Below are 15,239 nucleotides of genomic sequence, written 5' to 3'. Positions count from 1 at the left end.
CACGGATAAAAAGATGACAAAGGCCATATTTTTAACACTGAAGGTAGAGCCCTTTCTTTCTACTGCTTGCTAATATGCAAATATCACTTTAAAATACTTTAAAAATAAGGAAACTTTGCTAATTGTGAATCTTTTAGAAATCAGAATGAAAGGTTTTTTTCAAAATACTTTGTCCCCATTCCAAGTACCCTAAAAACACACCAGGTATTTAGTCTCCCAGAGGTTCTATCTCAAATTTAACAATGGACTACTTTAAATTTGTTTAGAATACACCATTTGTTTAGAGAATACACTAAATGCACAATGTAATAATTTAATAATACCAAGCTGTTTTCTATATGGCTGAGTAAGCAGCTTTTGGACCAACCTCCTGTAGACTACAACGATAAATTCTGATCAAAACATCAACAGGCCAGGCACGGTGGCTCAGGCCTATAATCCCAGCATTTTGGGGGGGTCAAACAGGAGGATCACTTGAGGCCGAGAGTTCAAGACCAACCTGCTCAATATAGCAAGACCTTGTCTCTACTCAAAAATAAAAAAATTAGCTGGGTATGGTGGCACATGCCTGTAGTCCTAGCTACTTGGAAGGCTCAGGCAGGAAGGATCACTTGAGCCAAGGAGTTCAAGGCTGTGGTAAGCTAGGATTGTGCTACCGCACTCCAGCCTGGGCCACAGATCAAGAACCTAGCTCTATTAAAAACAAAACAAAAAAACCACCATAAACAACCAGCTGGAGGTAATGGAAAATGACCTAGAGCACCAACTAAAATCACTCTACGAAGTGATTCACTGAAAAACTCTATAAAGTCACAATGTAATTCTAAAAAAGGATTCAAATAACCTACAGAAAGGCAAGAAAAAAGCAAAATGAAACAAAAACAGAGGAACAAACAAAACAAGAAATGGCAATCTTAAAATCTGACAATATCATTACATATAAATGGTCCAAATATATCAATTAAAAGGCAGAGATTGGCAGAATGGATTTTTAAAAACATAATCAAACTATCTGCTGTCTATAAGAAACTCACTTCAAATATAACAATATAGTTAGGTTGAAAGAAAAAGGATGGAAACAATTATACTAGGCAAACATGAATAATAACAAAGGGGAAAAGAGGCTGTCTTTATGTTAGATAAAGTAGATTTCATAAAGAACATTATCAGGGTCAGAGAGGAACATTATGTCCACACAAAAACCTGTACACAATTGTTCATAGTAACTTTATTTCTAATAGCCAAAAATTGAAAAACAACCAAAATGTCCTACAATGGGTGAGTGGTTAAACAAACTTTAGTACATCCAAAACAGGGACTACTACTCAGCAATAAAAAATAAACTATTCATATGTACCACAACCTGGATACATCTCCAAAGAACTGTGCTGAGTGGAAAAAAGCCAATCTCAAAAGCATACATATTGTATGATTTCACTTACAGAACAACCTTGAATTGACAAAATTATAGGAATGAAGAAAAGGTTAGTGGTTGCCAGAAGTTAAGGAAGGCGTAAGGAAAAGTGGCTGTAAAAGGGCAACCAACATGAGAGATTGTTGTGCTAATGAAAATGTCCTATTTTGATTGAATTAGTGTCAATATTTCAGTTGTGATATTACATGACAGTTTTGTAAAATGTTAGTGTCAGGAAGAAGGGGTAACAAGTACACAGTACTGTTACATACACCATCTTTGCAACCTTCTATGCATCTTTATTTCAAAATAAAAAGTTTTTCTTAAAAGCAGTGATTCTCAGTGTACTATCTTTTTACTGCTAGAACTATGCACAGAAACCTGATATTAATAAAAACGTACCCATTACCTGTGTTCATCTTTACCCATTCAATCCATGATTTCTATATTAGGGCCCATACAGCTGGAGTGAAGCCCTAGGTCAAAAGCAGTATGAACAAGAATAGAACAGGCAACTTCACCCATCAATCTTAAAGGCAGTTGTTTACTCTGGCTAAAGTAGTGGTGGCAATTTAAAAAATATATACCAGAATGGAGCTCAAGAGTCAATGAAATGTTTCTTAATTTCTGTTTGGAATGTGGACATAGGCCAAAACCAAAAAAAAAGAAAGAAAAAGAAAAAGAAAAAAGAAAAAAAGAGCAATTACACTTCCTTGGCCAACTTTCAAAAGATGCAGTTGCTAAAAATAATTTTTTAAATTACATAGACCTTTAAAGAAAGGAATAAGAAATGAACAATAATTTCCCTACCATGATAGCCTATTGATGTTTTAAAAAATAATTAGTAAGAGGAAGCCATGAATAGGCCGTAAGTTATTATTTATAGGCTACAAATAAAAGAAAATAACAAGCCTGGATAACATAGTGAGACATTGCCTCTACTAAAAATGAAAAAACATAGCCAGGCATGGTGGCATATGCCTGTGTTCCCAGCTACTCAGGAGGCTGGAATGGGAGGAATGGCTGAGCCTGGGAGGTCGAGGCTGAAGTGAGCTATGATCGTTGCCACTGCACTCCAGCCTGGGTGACTGTATTCGTCTGTTCTCACATCGCTATCAAGAACTATCTGAGACTGGGTAATTTATAAAGAAAAGAAGTTTAATCGGTTCACAGTTCTACAGGCTGTACAGGAAGCATGGCTAGGGAGGCCTCAGGAAACTTACAATCATGGCGGAAGGCAAAGAGGAAGGAAGCATATCTTACATGGCCAGAGTAAGAGGAAGAGAGTGAAGGGGGAGATGCTACACACTTTCAAACAACAAGTGAGAACTCACTTACTATCACGAGAACAGCGAGGGGGAGATCTATCCCCTGACCCAATTGCCTCCCACCAATCCCTTCCTCCAACACTGGGGATTACAATTTGACAACAGATTTGGGCAGAGACACAAATCCAAGTCACATCAGCCACAGAGCAAGACCCCATCTCAAAATAAAATAAGTAAAAACAAGTCTCCTTTCTCTACTGATCACTGTAATTCTTGGCCCCAAAGGTATCCACAAGTAAAGTACCTTGTAACTCATTCTTCTAAAATAAATATAATACATATATCCACATATTTATCTTATTTTTAAAACAGCAATCACTTAAAATATCATACTTGCTTTTATTAAGTTCTTTCCATATCAGCAGACACAGATCAACTTAATCCTTTATAACATCTATTACCCCACCAATTTATTTAACCAGTTCCCATTTTGATGGATGCTTTGATGTTTCCAGTTTTTTGCTAATATAAACAATGTTGAAATAAATATCTATTTATCACTTTCTATATATGCATGAATCTTGATCAAGTGTGTCTGCATGTGTACAAACATATATACTTTATATATGTGTGTATATGTATACACACACATATACACACTAATACAATGTGTGTGTGTGTGTGTATGTGTGTGTGTAAAGTTTTGTTACTATAACTGTAACAGTAAATTCCTAGCAGGGAGATGGCATGGTCAAAAATGAACTCACATTTCTTTTTTGGGGCAATACTGCCAAACTATCCACAAGACAGACAGTATCAATTTACATTCCTACCAACAGTATGAGCATATCAAAACCTTTGTTGGCCAGGAACAGTGGTTCACACCTGTAATCCCAGCACTCTGGGAGACTGAAGCAGGAAAATGGCTTGAAGCCAGGAGGTCAAGACCAGCCTGGGCAACACAACCCCAACTCTACCAAAAAAAAAAGGTTTAAGAAATCAGCTGGGCATGGTGACATGTGCCTGTAGTCCCAGCTACATGGGAGGCTGAGGCAAGATGATTGCTTGAGCCCAGGAGTTCATGGTTACAGTGAGCTATGATCACACAACGGCACTCAAGCCTGAGCAACAGAGTGAGACCTTGTTTCCAAATTAAAAAACAAAAAATTAAATTGAAAAGAAATTTGCCAATATGATTAGACACTAGACTAAATTCATTCTAATTTCCACCAGAAGAACACCACTATTTTGAGCAATATTTATTATGGTTATCACTTTTATTTCTTTTTATGAAAATTGACCATTTTTATCCTATGCCCTTTTCCTACTAGGCACCCACTTATTTTCTGTATTGATTTGCATATAAACTTTATAAATGAAAGCAATTAACCCCTGTCACGTCTTGCAAAGATGCTCTGCCAGTCTCTGATAATTCAAATCCTTTTATAACGTATTTTTTCTAGTTTTATATATTTTTCATTTCTACACAGTCAAATTCATCAATCACTTCTTATTCAGTATTAGAATTCTGTATTCTTTTGTATTCTGGATAAGTACTAAGTAAAGTTCAAAATTGGATAATATTGATCATTATAAAATAGTATCAGTTACTGAATTAAAAATGTTTTATTTAAAAGGAATATATGTAAACTAAAACATGAAGTATTAAAGTTGTATTTAATTTTACATCATCAATTTAATGCTACAAATAATTCAGAAATAAAATGCATAAAAATAATGCAGAAATAAAATGAGTACTAAAGTTAATGCCAAACACATCTGCTGCTTTTCATTAATTAGTTAACCAAGGGTATCAAACAGAGTAACCAAGTGGTAAGGTAAACATTGTAACTCCAAAAATACACTGATGGTTTTAACCCCGTAACTCATTATAAGTCTATTTCTTATTTTTCATATAAATTTGTTAACAAATCATAATTGTATTTTAAGGCCAAAATATAAAACAAAATACTAATTTTATCTTAGTTAAGTAACATAAAACACAGTGTTTCACAAAATATTTTTAGTTATTTTGTTACACTATGATGCTGTAAAAGATCAAAATGTTTTGGGATCAAAGGAAACAATAGTTACGCAGGTAAGAACAATAAGCAAAGGACAGAGATTGTTTGAAACCCCTATACTTATCAACATGAACGGTATCTAATGAACAGTTTTGAAAAATATGTCTGTCTACACATTACTTAACAGCATTTGGTAAATCTACTCTCTCACTGTAACCAAAGGGAGCTCCATTTGATGTCTTCTTTAATTACACATAAAGAAATACATTTAATCAAGAAATATAAGCAACCCTTCTTTAAAATAAAACAAAAAGCACAGAAAAGTACTGACCATGGTTCTTGTTGCTGTTATTTCTAAAATGACAAGCTCTTAAATGAACTCAAATGCACGCACAATGTTGTATTTTAATAGAGCTAAGAATAAATTAGTAAGAACACCACATTTTAAAATAAAGTATACAGATTTGATTTCTGGCATGTTTCCCAAGAAAAAAACAGAATGATATGGCACCACTCCAATTTTAAAAGTAAAATGTCCACTCTTCAAAGGTGGTTAGAAATACTTTCTATTTAATAGGAAAGCATCTGGCAATGTAAATCCAAAAATGCATCTGTAAAATAATTTTAATAGTGAATTTACAATATGATGGTATTTTTCTTTGAAAGACTGGTAACAACTCAACTCAAATGTGTTAGGTTTGTCCTAATGAAAATAACTAATTTAAATTGTTTATATCAAAGTTAAATCTACTTACCAATGAATCTGCATCAGGACATTCCCTATTAAAACAAAATATCAGAAATACTCAATAATTAGAATTGTCTGCTAATTATGCTTGTTTAAAGTATTTACTTTGGTACTTAAATATAGCTTTTATTTAAACTCTACAAAAAATATTCAGAGAAATCAAACCATGAAGATTAAAACATACCAAATTATTTTAAAATTCAAAAAAGGCATTCTTATACCCATACCACCTGACAAAATAAAAAACAAACAGCTTACAAGTATTCCTTTTTTTCTAACAGCTTACATTATGCTTTGAGAGCTTATAAATATTCAAAAACCTATTTTGAAAAATAATTCTTTTCCATGAATATACTCACACATCAAGAAAGCTGTCAGTCCTACAAGGCTTTCTAATGGCTTTTCATTCAAGTAAAGCAAGTTAAAAAAATGTCCTTAAAGAAGAAAGCTTGACTTTAAAAAAAAGTCAGTATTAAGTAGCAAGTAGTCTGAAAACCCAAAACTACTGGAAAAAATACAATTTTTAAACACTTCAGTTTCATCTGAAGTACTTTCCATAACTTAGTAGATACAAAAGTTAAAGCTAGTTTTTTCCAAATATACTGAGTAGACTTCCAGTTGGATAACTTTCTTATGTAATGTAATATGTAGTTGAGAACTGAAATTCTATCATTTAACTGATAAACAAGTATTGAATTTGCATATACACTAGTGAAAAGTATTATTTAAAATGTAAAACTATGTTTATGTTTATAAAGAAGACCTAAATATGTACAACTAAGGACAGTGAGGTCATTAAAAATGAGGTTAGAAGAATTTCCATGTATGCACTCTAAAATAAATTCACAAACAAAAATTAAGAGCGCAGACTTAAAAGGTTTTTGGACCTCTGACTTGTGACAGTTAATGCACACAAAGCAGGCTGAGCATCCCTAATCCAAAAATCTGAAATCCAAAGTGCTCCAAAATCTGAGAGTTTTTGAACACTAACAGGATGCTCAAACAAAATGTTCATTGGAACATTCTGGCTTTGGGATTTTCGGTTTAGGAATACTCAACTGGATGTATTCTGCAAATATTTCAAAATCCAAAAAAATCTGAAATCCAAAACACTTCTGGTCTCAAGCATTTCAAAGGATACGCAATGTGTGTCAAAATCTTATACAAACAGATAAACGCCATTTATCCAAATACTAAGCAAACACCAGAAGAATCTACAAAATTGAAGAATTTTCTTAAAGGAAAATAGGATAAAACAGACTGAAAAAATTAAAAAGGAGGAAGATGACTACATTGCTCTTAATCCAAAACGAAGTACCAAAGAGACAGGGTAAATGCAAACCCCAGGTGACTTTCTTTCTTCTTCTTTTTTTTTTTTTCTTTTTTTCTCTGACACAGAGTCTTACTCTGTCACCCAGGCTAGATGGAGTTCAGTGGCATCGTCTCGGCTCACTGCAACTTCGGCCTTCCAGGTTCAAGCAATTCTCCAGCCTCAGCCTCTCAAGTAGCCGGGATTACAGGTGTGTACCACCACACCTGGCTAATTTTTGTATTTTTAGTAGAGATAGGGTTTCACAATGTTGGCCAGGCTGGTCTTGAACTCCTGACCTCAAGTAATCCACCCTCCTCGGCCTCCCAAAATGCTGGGTTTACAGGCATGAGCCACCGGGCCTGGCCCCCCAGGTGACTTTCTATCCACTTAAAAGTCATTTAAAATTGCACATTTTGAAATACAGCTTCCTTACTGGTAGATGAGAAACATTATATTTTTCTAAACTTATGCATAATCTGAAGAAATGTTCCAGAAAAGGCATAATAATAATAACCCAATCCTTCTAGAGAATCAAATTAATCAAGATGTTAGAACATTTCTACTTTCTTCTTTTTTTAAAAAAGATGCAGTTTGAACATAAAAGGAAGTGTTAAAGTTCCAAAGAGTTTATTCTCTGGCTTTAGGCCAAAACACTCCAGTCATTGGGGTAAAGTACTTATCTGTTTGCCCTCACAGTGGGCTGTATGACACCTGCAGATGAAGCTCCAGGAAGAGGAAGCTCTGAAAAGGGCCTGTCTCCCACAATTACTAGCATCTCAAAAGCCTTCAGGCTATGAAGAGGCATGCCAAGAGCCTCTGGCATTTCAGGCAAAGTGAATTCTAACATTTTTTCCTGCCAAGAAGTTTGAAAGAAGGTGATGATGGTACAGTGGTTTAAGCAGTGGCTTTCTGCTCTACTATTGCCATTGGTTAAAAAACAAAAACAAAAAACCACCCTAAGTGGCTTAATATCATATTGGGAAATTATTGATAAGGAAAACTGTTTTAAAAACCTGGTTAAAAAATACTATAAGCTCCCTACATGAACAGTAATGAAACCTATACATTATAAAAATAATTTAAGGCCATGATTCTTTACAATATAGCCACTAACAGATGAACTAGATATATTTTAAACATTTACTTACTAATCAATTGATCAGATTTCAATATGTATTGCTAATATTATAAAATAGATTAGGTTTCACCCCCTTAAAAATATACCCTTCATAAATGCTCAAGAAAGACATTTGCAGAAGATTTGATAACTATAGATATAGATGACTTTGCAATTGGTCTTGATTTGTTAACCAAATACTACTTGGGAGAGGGGAAGAGAGTCATTTAAAATGAAAGAAATTCTAGGAAACTCAAATAGAAATATAACTAGGTAGAAAGCAAGAATACCCAAAGCACAAACTGTTCTCTTATGTTAAAAATATGAGTGCCCATCAAATATTAAATCTCATGAGAATTCCTTTGATTATGCTAGGGAAGCTGGGTTTTTAAACTAATTTTCAGTCAATGTTGGTGGGTCAACAAATTTTTTTGTTGTTTTGACTCAAGACTTTTGATCGGTGTCTCTTCAATCTAAATGGACTGAGTAATCATTGAAAGAAAGATTCTTTTAATTCTAGTTTGTCTCTGAATAATCACGGCTCAAAGATTCTTAACCCCAGGTATACATTAGGAATCAAAGGGGCTGCTTAAAACAAAAAAGAGCAAAACCTATGTTGAGGTTTCATGCTTAGAGAATCTGATTTAATTGATCTGAGGTGGGACCTGGCATAGGTGTATTTATTTTAATTTCCCAGGTAGTTCTAATGTGTAGCCAAAGTAAAAAACAAACAAACAAACAAAAACTTTAGTTAGCTAATCTAAACTCAATTTCTTACATGTTTATTACATATTCTTTGTATATTAATTTTTTATTTTTAAAAGAAGGTAAATCAGGCCGGGCGCGTGGCTCAGGCCTGTAATCCCAGCACTTTGGGAAGCTGAGGCGGGTGGTTCACCTGAGGTCAGGAGTTCGCGACCAGCCTGGCCAATATGGTGAAACCCTGTCTCTACTAAAAATACAAAAAATTAGCCAGATGTGGTGGTGGGCGCCGTAATTCCAGCTACTTGGGAGGCTGAGGTAGGAGGAGAATCGCTTGAACCTGGGAGGTGGAGAATGCAGTAAGCCAAGATCGCGCCATTGCATTCCAACCTGGGCAACAACAGTGAAACTCCATCTCAAAAAAAAAAAAAGAAGGTAAATCAGACTTATAAGTGGACCAAATATTCCATCTAAAAATGATGACCTAGTATAAATGGTAAAATGTTAGGGCTTTTCTCTCCCCTATTTAACATTTTCCATCAATGTATGTATAGGTATCACCATGTGCCTGTACACTCAGAATTGTCTAGAAGGATTTTCATCAAATAGTTGACCAGAGATTTTCTCTTAGGCATTAAGACTTTGATGAATTTTTAGTTTTCTTTGCACTTTTAATTTTTTAAAATATGCATTTATCATTTTACAAAAATAAGGATATTTCAAAACTTTCCATTTCTAGACATTAAAGCTTTTGTCTATAATGTCTTAACATTTTCAAATAATTAATAATACTTTGATCTAAAACCAGAGGAATTGGCAAATGTATTTATTAATATTTAGAAAGGCTTGTTTTTCACACCTTACACATATACTTTTGAGTTATTTCCAAAATACTTTTTTCTTTCCAAATTCAAAAGTCTTATTCTTAATCACTTATAAAAACAAAAAGGATTTTGACGATATTTAAAATACTTACACAGATTCTGCATCTTTTTCCTTTTTAATGATTCCTGGCAAAGCAAAGGTCTTTCTTTTCCTTGGTTTTATACCTTTAAAATAAATATATATTGTTACAGAAACATAAACATTCCTGATAAACATATTAAACTTATGGATACATCTTGCATCCTCACACATAATTTGCTCATAACTGCTGATGCTAAATGTGGATGACAGAAATAAAGTTAGCAACCACTCAACCCTATTGGTTAGACTTTTCTTATGTTAATAAAACATAGTCTATTGTTTATCAAAAGATCATAGAACATTTACTTTATAGATAAAATTTTCTTTTCTTTTCCTAAGCCTCCCTTAAGTCACCTTACACATAATAAGCATATGGAGATATCTTAAAACTTCAAAGAAAGTACATTATTCATTATACTAAATTTTGTTATAAACGTCAAATAATGTTATAAAGGTCAAATCATGTTTGCTTTTTAGAGGGCCACAAAATATAATTTTATTGTTTTAGATAAAAAGATGATACAGCAGACCCATTAGAAGTATAATATGGGGCCAGGTGCAGTGATGCATGCCTATAATCCCAGCACTTTGGAAGGCCAAAGCGGACAGATCACTTGAACTCAGAAGTTCAAGACCAGCCTAGGCAACATGGTGAAACCCTGTCTCTACAAAAAAATACAAAAGATTAGCTGGGTGTGGTGGTGCGCGCCTGTGGTCCTAGCTACTCGGGAGGCTGGGGTGAGAGGATTGCTTGAGTCCAGGAGATGGAGGCTGCAGTGAGCTGTGATCACACCACTGCACTCCACCCTGAGTGACAGAGTGAGACCCTACCTCAAAAATTAAAAAGAAAAAAACAGAAACAGAAAAAAACAAAAAAACAAAAAAGAAGTAAGTTTACAATATGGCATTCTTGTGTCCATAATGTTGTCCCTAATACAAACAATGCTATAAATGGATTCTACCATAACCGAGGAGTAAAAATTATCTTTGATTTTCCTAATAAGGCATCCTCTTCTTTCATGACAAATTATTTTTAAAGGCCAGTCATGCTATTAACTTTTGATAGAATTCAGCACTTAAGGCCTGGTGTGGTGGATCTCGCCTATAATCCCAGCACTTTGGAAGGCCGACGTGGGCGGATCACCTAAGGTCAGGAGTTTGAGACCAGCCTGGCCAACATGGTGAAACCCCGTTTCTACTAAAAACACACAAAAAATTAGCCGGGCGTAGTGGCGCACACCTGTAATCCCGGCTACTTGGGAGGCTAAGGGAGGAGAATCATCCGAACCAGAAGGCGGAGGATGCAGTGAGCCAAGATCACGCCAGTGCACTCCAGCCTGGGTGACAGAGCAAGACCCCGTCTCAAAAAAAAGAATTCAGCACTTAAAACTTAGGTGTTTACTCTTTGAGAATTGAGCAGTAGAGACTGGGTGTGGTGGCTCACGCCTGTAATCCTAGCACTTTGGAGGCTAAGGTGGATGGATCACTTGAGCTCAGGAGTTCAAGACCAGCCTAGCCAACATGGTGAAACCCTTTCTCTAAAAAAAATACAAAAGTTAGCTGGGCATGATGGCATATACCTGTAGTCCCAGCTAATTTTGGGGCTGAGGTGCAAGGATCGCTTGGATCTGGGAGGTCGAGGCTGCAGTGAGCAGAGATCGTACCACTGTATTCCAGCCTGGGAAACAAAGTGAGACCCTGTCTCCCAAAAAATAAAAACAGAAGAGAGCAGTAGAGACCTTAGGTTTAAGCTAGCCCCTCATCTTACAGATGAAGAAATTCAAGAAGGGTTTTTGTTGTTGTTTTTGAGACAGGGTCTCACTCTGTCGCCCAGGCTGGAGTGCAGTGGTACAATCACAGCTCACCACAGACTCCTCCTCCCAGGCTCCAGCAATCCTTCTACCTCAGCCTTCCCAGTAGCTGGGACTACAGGTGCACACCACCACACCTGCTAATTTTAAAAGTTTTTTTGTAGAGATGGGGTCTCAACATGTTTCCCAGGCTGGTCTCGAACTCCTGGACTCAAGTAATCCTCCTGCCTCAGCCTCCCAAAGTGCTGAGATTACAAGCATGAGCCACTGTGCCCAGCCAAATGATGGTAATATTAACATAAATTAATGAAATGTTACCCACTGTACAATTAGCACTACACATTACAGAGATGAGTTTCATATTCCTGAATATGGCTTAAACATGGATTAACAAGGCTTAAACATGGAACAAGGCTTAAACATGGATGTCAATGAAGAAAACTATTTCAATGTATATTTAAAAACAAATGCATGTTATACTCAATCTTTAAAAATATATAATCTAACACACTAATATTATTTTGGGAAAATCTGTTATTTATTAAGCAGCAAGTAGCATCTGCAGGCCTTCAAACTAATTTCAGATTTTTACAGCATTCCATTCCATAGGTATGCTGACACCTAGGGATAGCAGTCCCTCCTTATTTGTTCAATGAACAGAAGATACTAGCTAGCTGCCATGTGCATTAACATATTATAACTAATCAACTTACCTTCAACTGCACTAGCAGTGTCACATTCTTCAAATTCAATGAGGCCTGGAAAAAAAGAAATTGAAAAACTTCTAGTAGAAAAAAACTATTAGGTAAATTTTAAAACTTTTTTTTTACATTTTAAATTTTTTATTCTACTTTTAATTGACAACGCATCTTTTTAATTGTTCTGAAATGGTTCTAGTTGTTACCTAATAATTAAAATATCAGCAATAAATTTTAAAAATCAAATAATTCTAACAGTGAAAAATAACAAGACTAGCCCATTATGATCACAATAATTTACTGAAAACCAATTACATATGATGCCACAAAACTAGAGACACAAGAATATGCAGTTTCTGCTTTCAAGAAGCTGGCAGTACTGTTAATGAGAGGAAACAAGCATGGTAAAGGTGGTTGCTGAATCCTCGGTGGTGTTCATGGGAAGAACAGGGCTACCAAGATAGTAAATACTACTAGAACATAAGCTTGGGACCTCATCTGTCCTGTTCATCACTGTATCTTCAATACTTAAAAAATGCCAGGTAAATAATAAGTTGGGTAAATAAGTAAATATTTATTGAATGAATAAATGAACTAATTACAGACTAGTTAAGTGGTGACCTTGGGATTATAATCCAGATCTCTCTAACTGTATAGCAGGTCAAGGAATGTGAACTACAGCTTACAGGAAATAGGAAGAGTTTTCATGTAAGATCATACACATCCACCCACAAAGAGATCTTCAAGGACAATTAATTTAGCATTGCTATGAGAGATAGATTGTAGAAGAGGATGATGATAAAGTGGAAATCATTAGAAAACAATTAAAATAGCCCTGAAATGACTGACTGCTCAGACTAGCCTTAATTGCCATAAAATATGGCATACTTCATATATGTGAAATATCAAATTATTTGGCAGTGTGAGAAAGTAGCAAAACATGAATTACTCTCCTAATGAAATATCCCAGAAGCTAAATATGAGACTAAAAAATTATCTCCCACTAAGCTGTCATTTAGTACTTTTTATATATAAATTCATGAAAGTCTAGCTTTTTTTGTGAAATAATTTTTAATTTATTAATGGTAACTGGTATAACTTGCTATATGAAGAAATTTTAAAATAGAGCTTGAAACAGAGAGTAGATGATAGAGGATTTTGTTACTGGTTCTTCTGAGATGTGAAGCTTAACTATGTACAAATTCATGATCAGCATTATTATTGATCATTCCATTAAAAAAGAAAGCCACTGATTGATTAACAAGAAAGATTTCTCTACAAATAGGGGGATCTAAAAATATTGTCTTAATGTCCCTCTCCCTCCCCCTAAACCTAAGATTTATTTCTGTGTGGTTCTAGTTTCCATTCAAATAAAATAAATTAACATTTACTAATAAGCAGAATAAAACAGTCATAGAAGTGAGTTGATAAACAAGGTCCTAATCAATTATTAGTATGTTCCTTACTAATACATTCTTCTAAATATGAACAAGGACTAAAAAAAATGTTTATCACTTCTATCCAAAAAAGCCTTAAAGAGTCAGAAAATGACCCAATTAAAAATTTAAGGACTTTATTCAAACCCATTCTGCAAATCTGGAAGCTGAGAAATCATTTAATAAAAGGGTACTGAGCTTGTTCTTAGAATCCCTTAGAGGCCTATCGTAACAATTTACAATGAGATGAAGGCAGGCTGAAAAATCAATAAGGGTAAAGAAATTGAGATGTGCAAATTAGCAACTTTTCACTTAGTATAAAAATTATGAATAACAAATCTCTACCTAAATTACCAACAGCTTATTATATATTATTGGCTTTTCCAAGTACTAATAAAGCTTGAGAAAATATAATCGTCTGTTGAGACAAGAAAGGGTTTACCAAAAAAAGGCAATCAGGCATGTGGTTAGTCAAAAATTCTCCTACAGCTACACATCCACATAATTTCTACCCATTAACTATTTACAGAATCTCTAATGCTCAGGCCACACGCTTACTCTAGAGAGTAGAAAAAAGTAAGTACCATAAAAACAAAACACCAATGCCAAATTGCCTTGTTTACAAATACTAAATATATATTATCTAGAAGGACTTTTACATCATCATCTTAGCAAATATGGTACATACAGAAAAAAAGATTTGTAAAATCTTTGGATGACTTCATACATGTGAAAACAGTAAAGACATCTCTTAACTCCATAAAATCAGTCCCTTTAAACAAAATTCTCCTTTTTGTTCTCACAAAACTCTTTTCCTATAGTAAACATATCTTGATTTCTCTTATGTTTTCTAAACATCCTCTTAAAATCCATTTGAAATAGAAAAATGTCCAAAAAAAACACATTTTGAAAGATGCCAAATCACTTCAAATCAAAAAATATATATTAAAAATTTTAAATTGAGTACCATCCACACAAACTTTTCTATTAAAGATAGAAATAATGATTTCTGGCATAATAAAACTAAATACTACCTTTTTAAAAAAACCATTAAATCATGCATGAACAAGATTTTCTTTTACAAATGGCATATGCTCCACATGCCGCTTCACATGGCAAGGCTTTGCGTGCCTGGCTCAGTGCCAGTTGACAACTCAGCTGGATATCAATGCACATTCTGACCCCCCCTGTAGCATGTCACTTCTGAACTGTTTCACAAGTGGAAAGTTTATTCAGCATCTCCTTCAAATGCAGTCCACTGCCCATCATTCTGCTATTTAATCATAAGACAAGTTATTTTTTTTGACAGTACTAAAGCCAGAGTGAGAGTCTTAATGAATAGTTTGCTACAACTGGAATTTTAACTGTTTTAGACTCAATTAATTCTTTTGTCAAAATAAATAACTGCTCTTAGCACTTAAATTTTATGTTGGGTCACAAGGGCAATTTAGTTTGTATAAAAGCAAATAAAACCATTTTGGCTCTGTCTCCTGATGCTCTTTTACACATTATTTTAAAACACCACTATGAGTTCAATTAAACTCATAGAACAGAAGAACAGCTCTAAGAGGTCAATGATTCAAAGCAAAACAATTCTTAAATATGATGCTTTAATCATCAGGTAGGAATAAATAAATGCTATAAGAAAAGCCATCAACCTAAAGAATCCATTCAAACCTAATTTGGATTAAAACTTTGAAAAGATGTTACAAGAAGAAAAGCAACTTACTGAACGGTAATCTT

The 15,239-nt window shown here is 34.5% G+C and overlaps 1 protein-coding gene across 9 annotated transcripts in view; it reads right to left on the bottom strand.

The window, feature by feature from the left end:
- FCHO2 (FCH and mu domain containing endocytic adaptor 2) overlaps positions 1–15,239 on the bottom strand; it is a 134,482-nt gene that overhangs the window by 43,746 nt on the left and 75,497 nt on the right. For all 9 annotated transcript variants that reach the window (NM_138782.3, NM_001146032.2, XM_017009016.3 and 6 more), the window contains 3 exons: positions 12,076–12,120; positions 9,562–9,634; positions 5,462–5,486 (listed from right to left, as the gene is read on the bottom strand). In NM_138782.3, the coding sequence (NP_620137.2) occupies positions 5,462–5,486; positions 9,562–9,634; positions 12,076–12,120 (143 nt within the window). The remainder of the gene's footprint in view (positions 1–5,461; positions 5,487–9,561; positions 9,635–12,075; positions 12,121–15,239) is intronic.

Source organism: Homo sapiens, chromosome 5 (assembly GCF_000001405.40).
Source record: "Homo sapiens chromosome 5, GRCh38.p14 Primary Assembly".
Taxonomy (NCBI): Eukaryota; Metazoa; Chordata; class Mammalia; order Primates; family Hominidae; genus Homo; species Homo sapiens.
This window is presented reverse-complemented; position numbering and strand designations above follow the sequence as displayed.